The sequence below is a fragment of the Homo sapiens genome, chromosome 17, assembly GCF_000001405.40.
Source record: "Homo sapiens chromosome 17, GRCh38.p14 Primary Assembly".
Classification (NCBI taxonomy): domain Eukaryota; kingdom Metazoa; phylum Chordata; class Mammalia; order Primates; family Hominidae; genus Homo; species Homo sapiens.
The window spans coordinates 50971758-50989125 of NC_000017.11; the positions used below are offsets into that span (position 1 = coordinate 50971758).

General features: G+C 38.7%; 1 protein-coding gene across 10 annotated transcripts in view; it reads right to left on the reverse strand.

Annotated features, from left to right (window-relative positions):
- Nucleotides 1-17368, reverse strand: part of SPAG9 (sperm associated antigen 9) — a 158695-nt gene that overhangs the window by 9584 nt on the left and 131743 nt on the right. For 5 of the 10 annotated variants that reach the window (XM_005257771.4, XM_005257768.3, XM_017025285.3 and 2 more), the window contains 8 exons: nt 15355-15480; nt 13941-14021; nt 13166-13233; nt 10767-10915; nt 7989-8160; nt 5351-5464; nt 4106-4144; nt 3014-3190 (listed from right to left, as the gene is read on the reverse strand). In XM_005257771.4, the coding sequence (XP_005257828.1) occupies nt 3014-3190; nt 4106-4144; nt 5351-5464; nt 7989-8160; nt 10767-10915; nt 13166-13233; nt 13941-14021; nt 15355-15480 (926 nt within the window). The remainder of the gene's footprint in view (nt 1-3013; nt 3191-4105; nt 4145-5350; nt 5465-7988; nt 8161-10766; nt 10916-13165; nt 13234-13940; nt 14022-15354; nt 15481-17368) is intronic. The other 5 variants (NM_003971.6, NM_001130527.3, NM_001130528.3 and 2 more) reach the window with 1 other exon arrangement.

Sequence of the window (17368 nt, forward strand, 5' to 3'; positions counted from 1 at the left end):
CCCAAATTACTTTATTTATTTATTTTTGAGACAGAGTTTCGCTCTTGTGGCCCAGGTTAGAGTGCAATGGCGCGATCTCGGCTCACTGCAACCTTCGCCTCTGGGGTTCAAACAATTCTCTTGCCTCAGCCTCCCAAGTAGTTGCGATTACAGGTGCCTGCCACAACGCCCGGCTAATTTTTGTATTTTAGTAGAGATGGGGTTTCACCAAGTTGGTCAGGCTGGTCTCAAACTCCTGACCTCAAGTGATCCACCCACCTAGGCCTCCCAAAGTGCTGGGATTACAGGCATGAGACACTGTGCCTGGTCTCTTAAAAATTTTTAATGAAGTCTTGCTATGTTTGCCCAGGCTGGTCTCAAACTCCTGGGCTCAAGTGATCCTCCTGCCTTGATTTCCAAGTTGTGGAATTACAGGTGTGAGCCACCATGCACAGCCTACCTGCTTCAAACTATTATAGTCTAAATCTTTTGATCTGAGAAGACAGTGGAAAAGGTCTCTCCCTTGAAAAGGAATGTGCTTATTTGTGTAAGAGACTGAGAAAAGTCTTCAACTTAAGCCCTATGAGTTTGCATAGTCATAATTAACATTTAAATTTATTTCAAATCTATGGCTTTCCTCTCATATTTAAGGAAAATACAGGTTATTTTTAATTTAGATTATGCAAACAAAATTACTAGTAAATGTGCTGTTTGTTCTAAAGCTTAAGTTCTAAGGTAGAATCCTTGAGTGTGAAATAATAGAAAGAGAGAAACCTTTAAATATTATTCACAACTATGAACAAATGAGCAATCTCTAAGCCAACCCTCTTAGCAAGATTTAATTGTGGGATATTTTTTTCCTTGTCAGAATCTGCTGTCCTTTGGTCAAACTACACAGACTGCGCCTCCAGGAGCTAGCTGGACAGCCATTAATGCGACACACTGTAACAAAATTAATGTATGTTGAAAGTGGATAGGATAGTCTGACGTATCCCCACAGGGATTCATTCATGCATTACTCAATTATACTTTGGAAGAAATCAAGCATGCCAGCAATGACTTCTGTTGGTAGACGAGTTAGTTCTGCCACAGAAGCAAGAGCACAGTGGTATTACTGATAAGGCCAACCAGAATGGTTTAATCTTTAGGGCCAACTGGCCTCGCAACAACCATGTTGCTAATTCCACTTTTAGATTTATACCCAACAAAAAATCCTTACACATGCACACAAGAAGGTCTGCTTCAGTATTGTTTTTAATAGTGAAAAAAGAAAGGGGAGAAGCCTAGAGGTCCATCAACAGAAGAATGAATAAAATGTAGCACTTTTATTCAGTTATAATACCAGTTAAATGAATAAACTAGATTTTTATGTATGAACATTGATAAATCTCAAAAAATGAGAAGCAAGTTGTAGAAGCATACATATAAAACACAACATTTAACATGTAAAGTCCAAAACCACAAAACAATCATACATTGTTTATAAACACATTCAAACATAGTAAAAATACAAAAACAGGGGCAAGAGGATTTGCATCGACTTCAAGATAGTGGTTACCAATGGAGAGGAAAAGGAGAGGAGAATGGGATTGGAGAGGGATACAAAGGAGATTTAAAGGAAACTGTGATATTTCATTTTTTTTTAAGCAAGAGAAACACTGTTACCAGCAATCCCATTTCTAGGAAGGAAATGACTATACAAATATATAAAATGTACAAATGAGGTTTCAGAAAGCTCATTATCACTGTTGTTAAGAATAACTGAATAATTGCTTAGGGTACCATATGCCAGCCCTTGCCCCATGTACATAAAATCATTTAATCTTTGGAAGACCCTTGGGAAAATAAGTATGATGAGTAATTTGACGTGTTAGCTCGATACCCAGATATTTGGTCAAACACCAGTCTAGATATCATTGTAAGTCTTTTTTAGATGTGATTAACATTTAAAACAACAGACTTTGAGTAAAGCAGATTACACGCCACAGTGTGGGTGGGCCTCATTTAACCAGTTGAAAGCCTTAGAAGAAAAAGACTGAGGGATCCAGAGGAAAGAGAAATGTTGCCTCCAGACTGCTTTCAGATTTGGACTGCAACATCCACTCTTCCCGGGGTCTCCAGCCTGCCAGCCTGCCCTGCAGATTTCAGACCTGCTAGTCCCCACAACTGTGTGACCCAATTTCTTAACAGTAACTCTCTCTTCATACGCACATACACATGCATCCTATTGGTTCTGTTTCTCTGAAGAACCCTGACTAATATACTACATCACACAGTTAGTTGGTGGGGGAAAGTCAGATCTGAACTTCGTCTAGCTCCTAAACTTGCCTCTTATGGGAAAAAAAAATTCAAAACCTGTGTCCTGCTTACAGATGGTCAGTGACATCACTTAAGTATTGTCAATGGATAATTTGTCATTTTTCACTGGACATCATCACTTCCATCTTTTTTCTGGGTGGTGCTTTATAGCTCCCAGTAGCATTTTCATTAATTTTCATAACAAATGAAGTAGGCAGAGCAGATATTAATCACATCCACCTAGGAGTGAGGAAATGAGTCTCTGAGGTTAAGTGCCTTGCTCGAGGTTAGTGGCAGAGACACAGGGGCCAGACCCCCAGGCCTCCTAGTTCACTGCTTTTTCCTATTAAGCTGCTAAAGGTACCAGAGTGCATTCTCTCTTCCTCCATGCAGCCTTGATGATAGAAGCTTCTTTCTAGTGATTTCTCTTATTAGGTCAAGACCATTTTTGGCAATCCACGATGATAAAATAATACTACTGCTTTTCAAAAGTAAGCAAGTCTCCTAAAGAAAAATCAACAAATTTATCTTTGGGGGTGGGAGAGATATTCCAAAGTAACTTCATTCAAGTATCCCTATAGCACCTTAGTCACACCTCCATTACAGAACTTCCTTCGTATATATTGAAATTACCTGCAATTCGAGTACTTAGCCTTAGACTATTAGGTAGTGGAACCAAGAGATGACAGAAGAGAGACAATTACATGGAACATCTCAACAGAATAATCTAACATACCTGGGACTGCCACAAAGAATTTCACAGCATCCCGGTGCCCATGGAAGCAAAGCTGTGCATGTGCCATTGAACAATAGGGTATAAATGTCCCTGGAGTCACTTTATCACTGTTTTCATCACCATATACACGGATTACACTTCCAGGACGATTTCCTGGTACACCTGAGGTTTTATTTGCTGCAACAGAAAAACCAAATACCAAATATTTTCCCCTAGAAAACAGTAATGAATGTAAGAGGTTACTGGTTAATCCTTATGATATTATCTAAAAGCTACAGCCAGTTGAGATAAAACAAGGATGGCAATGCCAATTCAAGACAAAGCTGGGAAAAAAAGAGATACAGCATGCTAGTTATTTTTAAGTACCTCAGTAAATGGAGTAGGGGATTTTGCCAGTCTAGCAATAAGTAAGCTTATTTTTTAAACACATCTATTCATTTAAAAAATAATTTTAGTTAAAAAAAAAACAAATTTGAATCTTAGTTGTTTCTTGTTTTGTTTTTAATGCACATGTTAGAAAACTAACCATTATACAGTTTAAAGTAAATGGGTATATTTGCAAATAAAGTCTTTCTTTATAGTTTATCTTCTGATTTTTCTCCCTCACAGTAAGAATATTTCCCTTGAGGGGGTTGGTAAAAAGTTGTGCTTACAAGAATCCAGCCACTACAATAGAGCAGCTTTTATTGATACCAGACTGATGGTGTGCTGCGTACTGTAAAAGACCAGACTCACAAAACATCCCCATTCCATGGGCAAGTAAGTAAATGAAAGAAATATGATCGGTAACAAGAGTAAACGATGTAAATTAATGACAGCTTTAAGAGATGTTTCATGTTTATACTGGAAGGAAAACAAAGTCTGAAAGAAAGTTCAGCTGCAACAAAAGATGATAAATAGACTAAGCTGCTGAGCAGTTTGGTGGCCATGTAACAAACATTAAAAAAAAAAAAAAGACACCTGCTGCGATGCAGTGACTGCAAGTGGATAACATTTAGGAACATTCAAGAGGGTATTCTAGAGGAGTGGTAACAGCCTTACAGTGGCTATTAGAAGCCAGGAAGAAGAGTTTGGTTCAGAATCTGCACTTACCCCTCAGCCCCAGTAAACGTCCCTGGTGGAGGATTACGGCTAAAGTGAGAAAGGAGGAAAGGGGACATGGAGAGGTGCATGACAGGGAGGAGAGAATTACTGTGAGCCACCACTCTCAGCGTCTTCTATCTGGTAAACCTGGTGCTCAAAGCCCCTAACGAAAATAACAAGATCCCACTTGGCATAATACCAAGTAATACATAAAGTTCTTCCCAAGGCTTCTATTAGAATCTCTGCTGAAAAAGGAAAATCTGATTTATGGTGTTTTTTTTTTAAATAATAAAGCAATTTTAGTGAATCTGAATCAAAACACTAAGAACTCAATGTGCAGCATTTCCTAAATGCTAAAATTTCTCCTTTATTTCTCTGTGTGTGTGTGTTTTAAAAAACAAATCCTGTTCCAATAACTATGCTAAAATGAAGCTCTTACAAATAACTGAAATGAACTCTAGGGGATCCTGGAATCTCTTAGGATATAAGGAGAGGTCTAAATATGATTTATAAGTAACTGCAGAAAAGACAGGTGGGATTGAAACCTTGCTTTCTTTTAAAGGCTTCCGAAATACCTTCTAGTCTTTCTCCCTCCTCTGGCCTGAAAAAAGGTATGGTGATTTTGAAGTGTATATGTATTAATGTATTTTATAGACTTACAGTATTTGCTTTTAAACCATTCCCTGCCATGAATTTTGCAACACAAAAACATTTACTTAATGGATGATTAATGTAATGGAACATCATATGAGAAACACACGAGGTATATTTTATTCATAAAAACAATAAATCACATTCTTTTAAAATAGAAGATAGATGGAAAGGCTTGCTGAACTCCTGAGAAACTTCTTCCACAACTTTTTTTAAACCTCAAATAAGACAAATGGAATATACTAAACTATCTGCTAAGGAGATATGAAAAACTAAGATGAATGCTAGGTAGTGTTTTTGGATAATGGTATAATAAGGCTTAAGAAAAATGGACTTTAACTTTTATTTCAAAAGATGAAATAGGACTGTGATTCCTGAACTGTGAAAATGTTTTGACAACGAAAAACTTTTAATTATGAGTATTGGTCTTGATACATGAAAACTTATTTTCCTAGAATTTATAAGTTTCATTGAGTGAAGTAACTATAGCTAGATCTTTGCCATCACTGATTTTCTGAGCTAACACAGATTTGAATTTCAGACATAACTATTTCCTATAATTCTCCTATTTGTTCCATGGCAGTTATCTAAAAATATACTTACTTTCTGTCAATGGGATGGAGATAATGACACCATTTCCTGTCCCCACCCACAAACGATTACAAGACACCATAAGAGCTGTAATTCTCACAAAAGAGAAGCCCAGTTTTCCAGTACCTGTAAAGAAAGGAGGGAACACGTTATTGAGAAACTAAAGCAGACAGTGTTTTACATTCCAAGTTCCTTAGAAGTAGCAGGATTACAAAACAAAAAAAAAAGAAAGAAAGTAGTAGTAGCAGGATTGATACAACACAGAGGAAATGTGACTAGAGCTAGATGGATGTTTCCTGAAGGTTCACATCAAAGTAAGCTCATATTGGGGCTTATTGTCTATCTGACAATTCAGGGTTAATGGAAAAAGAAAAGCCTAAAAGTGGGTAACATAACATTATTAGTTAGAAGAAAAGTACACAGGAAATAGGATACATCAGGAACTGTGACACAGGATTTACTTAGGGAACTGTAAAACCAAACCAACACATAAAACAAAAAACCCCAACAGAAAACAGTGAAACTGGCAGGGCACGGTGGCTCACTCCTGTAGATCCTACAAGGTGGGATGACTGCTTGATCCCAGGAGTTTGAGACCAACCTGGGCAACAGACCTCACCTCTACAAAAAGTACAAAAATTAGCCAGGCATGGTGGCACATGCCTGTAGTCCCAGCTATGTGGGAGGCTGAGGTGGGAGGGTCACTTGAGCGCAGGAGTTTGAGGCTGCTGTGAACTGTGATCCAACCACTGCACTCCAGCCTGTGCAACGGACCAAGACTTTGTCTCTAAAAACAAACAAACCCAGATAAATCAAGTGTCCTTTGATCTTATAAGCTGAAAAAGTTCTGGTTTCCCTTAAGTTTTCTTTGCACAGATAAAAATCTTTGTAAACAAAATCTATACTTTTCCCCTCATTTATATACTTAGGTTCTAAAGCAGTTTAAACATTTTAAGTATTATACACAAATAATTTAGGGAGAACAAACGCATTTTTGTATTTCAAGTTAATTTTTACAACTGATCTTATTTTCAGTGACTTGAAAGACAAATTTATTGAGCAGGTAATACATTTAAGAAAGACAACACTAGTACTCATAAGTTCTACTTACAAGAACTGAGGGCATGATCGCTGAATCACAGTGTTAGAAGGAGGCTTAATTACCATTCAGCCTAACCTAGGAACCTTTAACCTCCAGTCAAAGTAGATCCCTGAAATTAGTTTGTGTTTGCATGTGTATATATTCTAGGGAGAAGGTACATAGCTAGAAATAAGGTTTTCTGAGGGCAGTAACTCTAAATGGTTGAAAACCACTGATCCAGTTCAATCATTTTTCATGAAAGGAATCCTTTATGACATTTCTAATAATCATTATAACACTAGGTCAGGTGCTAAAGATAGAGCAGGGAACAAGACAATGATGGTCCCTGATCTTCACGGGGCTTAGGGTCTGTAGGGGAGAGATTATAAACAAGAATCACATAAGACTGGTACGATCACAATAATGATAAGCCCATGAAGAAAAAGTATGACAGGACCTAAATGGTCTCTCCTGATTATGACAGTTAGGCTATGACCTGAAAGCTAAGTAAGTAAAAAGGGACCAAGAAGAACTTCCCAGGTAGATGATACAGCAGCACATGTGAGGACCCTGAAATGGGAAGGAGCTTGCTGAGCTGTGGGTCGGTATGAGCAAGGAGAGTGTTTGAGAACATGTAAGGTCTCCTGGTCATGTCACCTCACCTAAAGGCAACAGTGGAGGTGTGTGAAGGTAATATCTGCACCTTGGTTACTAGGCAGAGAACAGACTGGGGTGGCAACAGGGAGCCCAGTTAGGAGGCCTGGGGGTAAAAGGATAGTGGTAGAGATAAAGAAGTAACTGATTTAATACAGTTTTAGAGGCAGACTTGACAGTTCCCAGTGACAGATTAGATGTGGGAAATAAGAGAAGAGGAGTCCAAAATGATCCCAACTTTCCATCAAGAACAATAAGGGGCCAGGTGCATTGGCTCATGCCTGTAACACCAGCACTTTGGGAGGCTGAGGTCTGGGCCAATCACTTGAGCCCAGGAGTTTAAGGCCAGCCTGGGCAACACAGTGAAACCTCATTTCTACAGGAAAAAAAAAAAAAAGTAGCCAACATGATAGTGCAGGCCTGTCCAGCTACTGGGAAGGCTGAGGTGGGAGGATCACTTGAGCCCAGGAAGTCAAAGCTGCAGTGAGCCGTGATGGTGCCACTGCACTCCAGCCTAGGTGACAGAGTGAGACCCCGTCTTGAAAAAAAGAAAAAAAAAAAAAAAAAAGAGTAAGGTAGATTGAAACGTCTGACACTTTCAATGATAAAAGTTCACTACTCCTGAGATAACTTAATTCATTGGTTCTACCCAGCATTTTAGACTATTTAAAAATAAAAACAAGGACTGGGTGAGGTGGCTGTGCCTACCTACAGTCCCAGCTACTCCGGAGGCTGAGGTGAGAGGATCGCTTGAGCCCAGGAGTTCAAGGCTATAGTGTGCTATGACTGCACCTGTGCATAGCCACTGCACTCCATCCTGGGCAACAAAGCAAGACCTCATTTCAATAAACACATAGATAGATAAAATAAAACACCCTCTTTGACTGGTAAAGATAAAACGCGTTGGAAGCTTACCTAACATTTTGCTTACATAAGGCTCAATGTCCACATCCTGTAGATGTTGATAAGTGTGTGCATGATAGAGACGGAGCGTAGAATCCAAGCGAATGGAGACCCACACGCCATCCCCCACCCACGCAAGCTGTCGCACTTGGCTCTCCTTCCTGGGATGTGCATCAAAAGATTTCTAGGAGAGATTGTCCAATCACAAAGTTACTTTTGCTACATAGAATTTCATATTTAAAACTGTGCTAATTTGCACAAGTTAGCAGACTATTAAAAGACAAGCCCAAATATTATATATTAAACATGATTACTCTTATATACACAATTGTTTTCATCCTGGAATGCAAAAAATAAAGAACTAAGAACGGGATATTGGACTTCAGCACTATATAGGATATCACCTTATAACAGCAATACTAGCGCATCCACACTATGTAACAGTGCTCAACAGAAAGATTTTTTTTATTTCTTTATTTTTTATTTTTGAGACAGAGTCTTTACTCTTGTCGCCCAGGCTGGAGTGCAATGGCGCAATCTCGGCTCACTGCAACCTCCCCTTCCTGGGTTCAGGCGATTCTCCTTCCTCAGCCTCCTGAGTAGCGGGATTATAGGCGCACACCACCATGCCGGACTAATTTTTGTATTTTTAGTAGAGACAGGCTTTCATCATGTTGGCCAGGCTGGTCTCAAACTCCTGACCTCAAGTGATCTGCCCACCTCGGCCTTCCAAAGTGCTGGGATTACAAGCATGAGCCACCGCACCTGGCCTAACAGAAAGATTTTATCTCCGGATTTTGTGTTGTTGCAGAGCCACTGTGTTGAAATAAGATCACAATTATAATTAATCAGGCTGGGCGCTGGTGGCTCACACCTGTAATCCCAGCACTTTGGAAGGCCGAGGTGGGAGGATCTCTTGAACACAGGAGTTTGAGATCAGCCTGGGAAACATGGTGACATCCCAACTCTAAATACAAAAATTAGCTGGGAATAGTGGTGCATGCCTGTATTCCTAGCTACTTGGGAGGCTGAGGTGGGAGGACTATTTGAGCCCAGGAGTTTGAGGCCAGTCTGGACAACATAGCAAGATCCCGTCTCTACAAATAAACTAAAGAAAAATTAGTCAGGTATAATGGTGTGTGCCTGTGATCTCAGCTACCTGGGAGGCTGAAGCAGGAGGCTTGCTAGAGCCCAGGAGTCTGAGGCTGCAGTGAGCTATGATTGCGCCCCTGCACTCTATCCTGGGTGACAGAGTGAGACCTTGTCTCAAAACAAACAAACAAAAATACCAAAATATAATTAAACTAAAAGGAACCCACGCTGCTGTATATGTGTGTGAGGCACAGGCTGAGCATTCCCAATCCAAAAATCTGAAATCTGAAATGCTTTAAAATCTGAAAGTGTTTAAGTGCCGATATGATACCATAAGTCACGCTGAACACAGTATTTTTTTTACTGCACTAATGGTATATCATATTTTTCACTGTTATAAAGTATACAGGAAACATAAATAAATTTTATGTTTAGACTTTGGGTTCCATGCCCAAGATATTTCATTATTTATGTATATGCAAATATTCCAAAATCTGCAAAAAATCCAAAATCTGAAACACTTCTGGTCTCAAGCATTTTCAATAAGGGATATTCAACCTGTGTGTGGATGGATGGATGGATGGATGGATGGATGGATGGATGGATAGACAGCCAGATAGCTAGCTAATTAGATAGATATAAACAGATACACAGATAAAGATAGATAGATAGATAGATAGATAGATAGATAGATAGATAGATAGAAAGAAAGAAAGAAAGAATAGATAGATAGATAGAATTGATATAAAAAACAAACACCAAATGGTTGACTTTGAGACTTCTAGGGAAAGAAATGTGATTTGGGGGAGGGTGAAGGAGGGCTTTCACCTTAAAATTTCCTGTATGCTTTTTGTCCCCCTAAACAATTAGAATGCATTTATGTATTGTGACAAAAAAAAAAAAAAACCGTAAGAAAACAATGCTAGGCCGGACGCGGTGGCTCATGCCTTAACCCCAGGACTTTGGGAGGCCAAGGTGGGCGGATCACGAGGTTGGGAGTTCGAGACCAGCCTGGCCAACATGGTGAAACCCCGTCTCTACTAAAAATACAAAAAAAATTAGCTGGCTGTGGTGGCGGGAGCCTGTAATCCCAGCTACTTTGGAGGCTGAGGCAGAAGAATTGCTTGAACCTGGGAGACGAAAGTTGCAGTGAGCCAAGAACATGCCACTGCACTCCAGCCTGGGTGACAGAGCAAGACTCTGTCTCAGAAAAAAAAAAAAGAAAAAAGAAAAAAAGAAAATAATGCTAGGAGGTTAGGAGGTTTTCATTTTTACAACAAATTCCCAGTGCAATGTTATTTCTGTCTGGGACACACATGTGGATGTGCCTGGATTACACGTGGGGAGGACAGGGAGGAATCCTCTTCTCAAACAATCCTCATATAACTAAACATAAAAAGAACCATGTATTCAAACAAAAACACATACATATTTCTGGATACATACACAGACACACATTTAAACATTCACGTATGAATCCTCTTTCCTTTTTTAAAAAGCCACTTTCTACCCTCACAGTCAAAACTGGCAAGAGAGTTAAGTAACACAGAAAGCTAAGATATTCAAATACATTACTCAAGTGCCCTAAAACACACAGATCCAGAAACAATTTCTAAAGAAGCTGAAAATAATTATAGTCTAATAGTCTTCGGATAATACAAATTCAATAAATACAGAAAACATAGGCTAATAACTTGCCTCTATTTTCATGGCCTTTGGCTGCACCACATAGATTTTGTTCCTATAGCCACACCAGACTTTGTCATGTACCACAGTCATGCAACGGATGGAATGATGAGGCCGTCCAAGGTCTAAGAGGTGATAGTTTGACAAATCCCACTGCCCATCTTTAAAAAAAATAAAAGGTTATAGTAAATACATACCACCTGTTACTCAATTTCAACACAAGAAACATTTTATTTGTTGTATAATTAAATTTATTGAGGAAGCACTCAAAGTACCATGTACTAAGTATATCTTTTATTTGCAGCCTGGGTTCTTTTATTCCATAAGCTGCAAAGTTGGAAGAGACCCTCAAAGGTCATCTGCTTCAAAGTGCCACCCAGTACCTAGACCCCCTTTAAAACATGCTCACAAAAGCAGTGATGTGATGATAAATCAGTTACAAGTTATCTGTTTATCATAATATTTTTCGAATTAGAATGGACTTAAGGTTATTTTGGGAATAACGTCTCTCAGTCACGTGCATTTTGATGTATTTTCTTGGGTAGAAGTTGAGGGCAACTCATTGCTAACACTTTAGGAATTATGCATACTATATTTTCAGTGATACTAGAAATATGAAGGAGAACCAGTCATCAGAACCTCGCTTTGCTTTGTTAGCTTTTGTGAGCATACTGCCTCACAAAGCAGCCATTCTATTTTCAGACACCTTTAATTGAAAAATATTACCCACACCTAGCTAAAGTCTGTCTTTTTGTATGTAATCACCCACTCGTCTGCAGTCTTGCAGAGTGGAAACAAAAGAATAAATCCAGTACAAACTTCTTCGTTACAGCCCTATGTCTCCTCTTTTCAAAACCAAGTTATCTTTGGCATGTGCTCTGTACCTACCACAGTTTACAGACCCTTCATCCTAACTCTGTTTTGTTGATGTCCATTGAATATGCTGTCTTTATCTAGCCTAGTAGAGCAGGATTATCACCAGCCTTGTCTTTGAGGCTTAAGGCATTAAACTCATATTGAGTTTATAGTCAACCTTTAGGTAATTCTCACTCTTCAGACATGTCTCCCCATCGTGCTCTTCTGAACTCAAATGCAGGACTTTACATTGACACTTACTAAATGCATTTTACTTGTCTTATTCTGTCAATATTATTTTGAATTCAATTTACCAAAACATGCATTGTTTCATTTTTTTTCTAGGCTTTTCCACTTATTAGCTGAGTGGCCATGAAAAAGTTACCAAAATGCTCTGTGTTTCAGTTTCCTCATCTATAAAATGAGGATGACCATGGAACTTTCTTAATAATTTACTGTAAAGATTAAACATAGATAAAGGGCTGAAAAAGGTAAAATGGAGCCCTCTCACTCTTTGATGATATGGAGTCATTAACCAGCAATTTTCAGGTACCAATCAATTACAAAAGCACCTAACTGTCATCTACTCCACATTTCCCCAGCCCAGAAAGATAGGAGATTTTGGGAAAAGCTTTTCTAAAATCCAAATTCAGGGTATCTATGTTTCATAATACTTCCTAGATATACCAATCAAGTGGGTAGAAAATGATGTATCATTTTTGGTTGACACAAGTACCAAGGAGTTACGGAGGAATACATACTAAATTCCCTCAACTTAATTCATTTAAGGTAGGGTTTCTGATACCACCACCCCTCTATAGATGAAACAATGGTTTTAAAGGGGGAGAATATAAATAAGGTGACATGAAAATGATTAAATCTTACCCAATTAAAATTCTTTAAGAAAAAGTCCAAATGTTAAGTGGACACAAATTATTTTTAACACATAGGACATTAAAAAAACACCAAGTTTCTCCGAATTGCATAAGTATATGAATGAAAAACAAATGCCTCCCTATCACATTATTTAAAAGTACCAGCCGGGCACGGTGGCTCACGCCTGTAATCCCAGCACTTTGGGAAGCCAAAGCGGGCAGATCACAAAGTCAGGAGATCGAGACCATCCTGGCTAACACAGTGAAACCCTGTCTCTACTGAAAATACAAAAAAATTAGCTGGTCGTGGTGGCAGGCGCCTGTAGTCCAGCTACTCGGGAGGCTGAGGCAGGAGAGTGGTGTGAACCCGGGAGGCGGAGCTTGCAGTGAGCTGAGATTGCGCCACTGCACTCCAGCCTGGGCGACAGAGCGAGACTCTGTCTCAAAAAATAAAATAAAATAAAAGCACCATAAAATGCCCATTGTGGTAAACACATTTTCCCTAAGGTATCTGTTAATGTATACCTCCATGCACGCACTAATATATTTACTGATGTTGTGTATTGTTAGTATTTATTCTTTAAACTGAGTATCATTTCTTTAAAACATAAACCAATCTACTTAAAAATGCTTTGCAAAGCAACAAATTAGTGTCCATGTTATACACACATCACCACTCACCCACTCCTCTGTGAAAGATTGCAAGGGTGCCGTCAGCCAGGGCTACTAACACGATTCCCTTCACGTGTCTGCAAACAGGAAAGGGGAGTTCAGAACTCTCCATTCAGGAATACAGAAGGGACCACATGCTACTGAACTAGTTCAAGGCCTCACAAAGGGCCAATCTGTGATGAGTTAAGGAGCTGACACCTGAATATAAATGAACACACCACTTTCTTCACTGTGGATGTCCTGCTATGAAAAAATGTCAGCTGAACTAAATAAACAGTATGAATGGTATCTCAGTTATTTCACTTTCTGGCCCAAGGTTCTCCTCTCATCACAGACAATCAACACAAACTCTAAAGACCAGAGACATGCACCTTGAGTGGAACCAACAGAGTCAGCCCTGTAGGCTCAGAGATAAACTGTCTGATTTTTTTACAGTGAACACATAGAAAAGAACTAGTAATCAATGCCCCAATCAACATATTTACAAGCCATAAAGAATATTCTAAAATAAACATAACTTAATAGGTATTGGTTATTTCCTGCAGTGCTAAATAAATCGCAGTATGGTGAGGACTCAATCAAGCAAGTTATCCTTTCTACTTCGTTTTCTATTATACAGTTTCATTCTCACTTAACTTCTCTAGTTCCATAAAAAGGGTTAAAAAAACAAACAAATTGGATACTAATTTAGTCGTGAAACATGTATTAGCTTTCAAAGTCTTAAAATCTAGTTTATACCAAAATGCATAGTTTTAACAAGAAGAATTTCCAAAATAAAACTTACACAATACTGAGAATCGAATCTTTAAGTTTAATGGAATGGAGACATTTCCTCCACTGGGCTACAGATGAATGGACATACAAACTGTAAGAACAAAGTCAACACTGGTAAGGCATAGAGAACATCAAGACATTGCATATATCTAACAATGATCGCGAAGTTCATTCAGAAGGAAAGAAGAGTAACATACAAATTTTAGGAAAAGGTGCTGCTGCTTTTGTGCAATGGTCAGAAAAGAAAAATGAGAGTGAGGGTAGGCCTAAGGTAAAGAAATAGGCTGCTGAGCAAAGAAAAACATATGAAGACTGAAAAGCAAGAACTAGTGCAATGCACAGTCAGGTTCACACACTTAGTCCTTGGGCAAAACTCTTTTTTTGAATTGCCTTACCTCTCTACTACACTGATCTATAACTTTTGGATGACAGAGTGGCCCACATAGGGAGTGGCAAACTATGGCCTACAGGCCAGATCCAGTCTGCCACCTGTTTTAATCCAGCCTGCAAGCTAAGAATACTTTTTACATTTTTAAAAGTGTGTGTGGGGGGGAAATCAAGGGTATTTTACGACAGGGGAGATTTATATGAAATTCAAACTACAATGCCCATAATGCTCTACTGGAAGAGAGTTACACTAAGTTTGCCAACTCTTCACTTTATAGTATTGGACTCATATGAAAAAGACATACTACAGGTTGAGTAACCCTTATTTGAAATGCTTGGGATTTCTGACTTTTTCAGATTTTAGAATGTTTACATCATACATAACAGTTGAGTATTCCTAATTCAAAAATCCAAAATGCTCCAATGAGCATTACCTGCCAGCATCATAACAGTGGTCAAAGAGTTTTAAATTTTGGATTAGAGATGCTCAACAGTAATCTTGCTTAACCTTTGTAAATGCACAATTTTGTAAAACTCTCCACACAACCGGAAAGTGAACAAACCATATAATATTAGTCATCATCATCTGACTTTGCAGATTGTGATTTGTTTTACCTATCTTAGTAAAAAATTCACTAAAAGTTGGGATTGGGCCTTCCTGCAGCCAAAATGTTGGTTTAATCCCTGTTTTCCTGCCCACATTCTAGCCTACATAAATTAAATATTCTCTGTCTTTGTGCTGTTCAGGATCTTCTATTTCTGGAGCACCTCGATTTTAAAATTTTACATACCTCTTCTTCCAAGAATATTATAGAAAGGGAACATTCTGTGACAAAGAAACATATGGCTTACTATTCAGAACCAGTGCAAGTCCAGTTTATGTGGTAGTTGCAACATAACATCAAATTGTGTGTATATATAAAATTCTTTGCATTAATCCACACTTTTTGTATTTGTTTACCATATTTTACTTATCTTCTGATTTCAAAAGCAAAAGTAAAACAACATATTCTAATGTTAAAAGCATTGACACCTACCAGCCATTTTGAGCTCCAAGCCACATAGTTGGTAAAAGACTACTCATTTTCTGGGCTTCTTCTCTCACCAAGTCTTGTTCATTTGGCAGTACTGATATTTGATCTTTATATGCATCTGAGTCATTGCTGGAAAGGGAGGGCAAAAGGAAAGAAATCTGAGTATACTTAACTATCGTTATAGTTTTCAGGGACTGAATCCTTCTATATTTAAGTTTGTTCATTTGTTTATTATTTATTTATTTTTTAGAGATAGGGTATCACTCTGTCACCCAGGCTGGAGTACAGTGGCACAATCAGGGCTCACTGCAGCCTTGACCTCTCAGGCTCAAGTGATCTTTCCACTTCAGCCTCCTGAATAACAGGGACTAGAGGCACACACACTATCACACCTGGCTTCAACTTTTAGTCAAAAAAAAAAAAAGAAACCACCAAAATTCCAGAAAAGCCAAAGTCAAAAGCTTACATCACATATTTCAACAATTGTACCAGAAATAACATTAACAAACTAGGAAGCCCAAGGAGCAGAAAAGATAATAAGACATGGTAATGAAATACAGCAGTTAATATTCAGACAATTACTATGGCTGTCTCTTATTTTGGGTTTTGTCATAGTTTCTTCTCAAGTGAGAGAGAAGGGAGGGATACACACATACAAATAGTAGGGAGAAATATAAAGAATGACCTAAAATAAATTAATAAACTGAAATATGTTTAATATTCTATCACAAAACCTTTCCTTTGAATTGTCAGGGCATATTTAGTAAAAGATATATAACCAGGCTATCAAATTCAAACATGACTTATTCTTAAATTAATAATTCAGGCCAGGTGCGGTGGCTCACGCCTATAATCCCAGCACTTTGGGAGGGTGAGGTGGGTGGATTTCTTGAGGCCAGGAGTTCAAGACCAGCCTAGCCAACATGATAAAACCCCATCTCTACTAAAAATACAAAAATTAGCTGGGTGTGGCAGCACATGCCTTCAATCCCAGCTACCTGGGAGGCTGAGGCAGGAGAATCGCTTGAACCTGGAAGGCGGAGGTTGCAGTGAGCTGAGATTGCACTGCTGCACTCCAGCCTGGGTGACAGGGTGAGATTCCATCTCCAAAAAAAAAAAAGAATTAAATATTAACCCATTTATGCCGGAGGTTGCAAATTTTTTTTGTAAAAAATCAGACCTTAGCGATGACCTTGAGCAGTAGGATATGAATAACTCCCACAAGCTTAGCATTCCAATAATGGACCACTAGGCATAAATGGGTTATTAATTAATCTTTCTTACTTTATACACTAAGAATATTAAACTTTAAAAAGGATCTAGTTTAAAGAGACTCTCATCTAGAGGGGATCTAGAAAAGGCAGGAAAGAAAATAAAATAATTCACTAAATGGGCCTAGATTAACCAACCCTTTAACGGAGGAGCCTAAAACAAACAGTTTTCTTTGGTTTGTTTGTTTTCTGAGACAGAGTCTTGTTCTGTTTCCCAGGCGGCAGTGCAGTGGTGATATCATGGCCCACTGTAGCCTCCAGCTCCCAGGGCTCAAGCAATCCTCCCACCTCAGCCTCCTGAGTAGCTGGGACCATAGGTGCACGCTACCACGCCCAGCGAATCATTAAGTTTTTTGTAGAGATGAGGGTCTCACTATGTTGCTCAGGTTGGTCTTGAACTCCTGGACTCAAGCAATCCTCCTGCTCAGACTCCCAAAGTGCTGGGATTATAGGCATGAGCCACTGGAACTATCTGAGTTGTTTTTTAATAAAATATTTGCATGAAAACTAAATTCAAAAAGGTCATCCACACCCATGTGGGAAACTTGTACAATGGCAGATTTAAACAATGGCCAATTTTGCTGATAACTGGAGTGAAAATTAGAGTAGGGGTGGGATTAAAATGACAAAGAATTACTTATAGAATGGAAGACAGTAAGTACAAAAAAAAAGAAAAAAAAACAGATCAGAGGAGAAAATGAACAGAAAGATTTTGACTAATATATAGTCACACACCTGGTAAAACC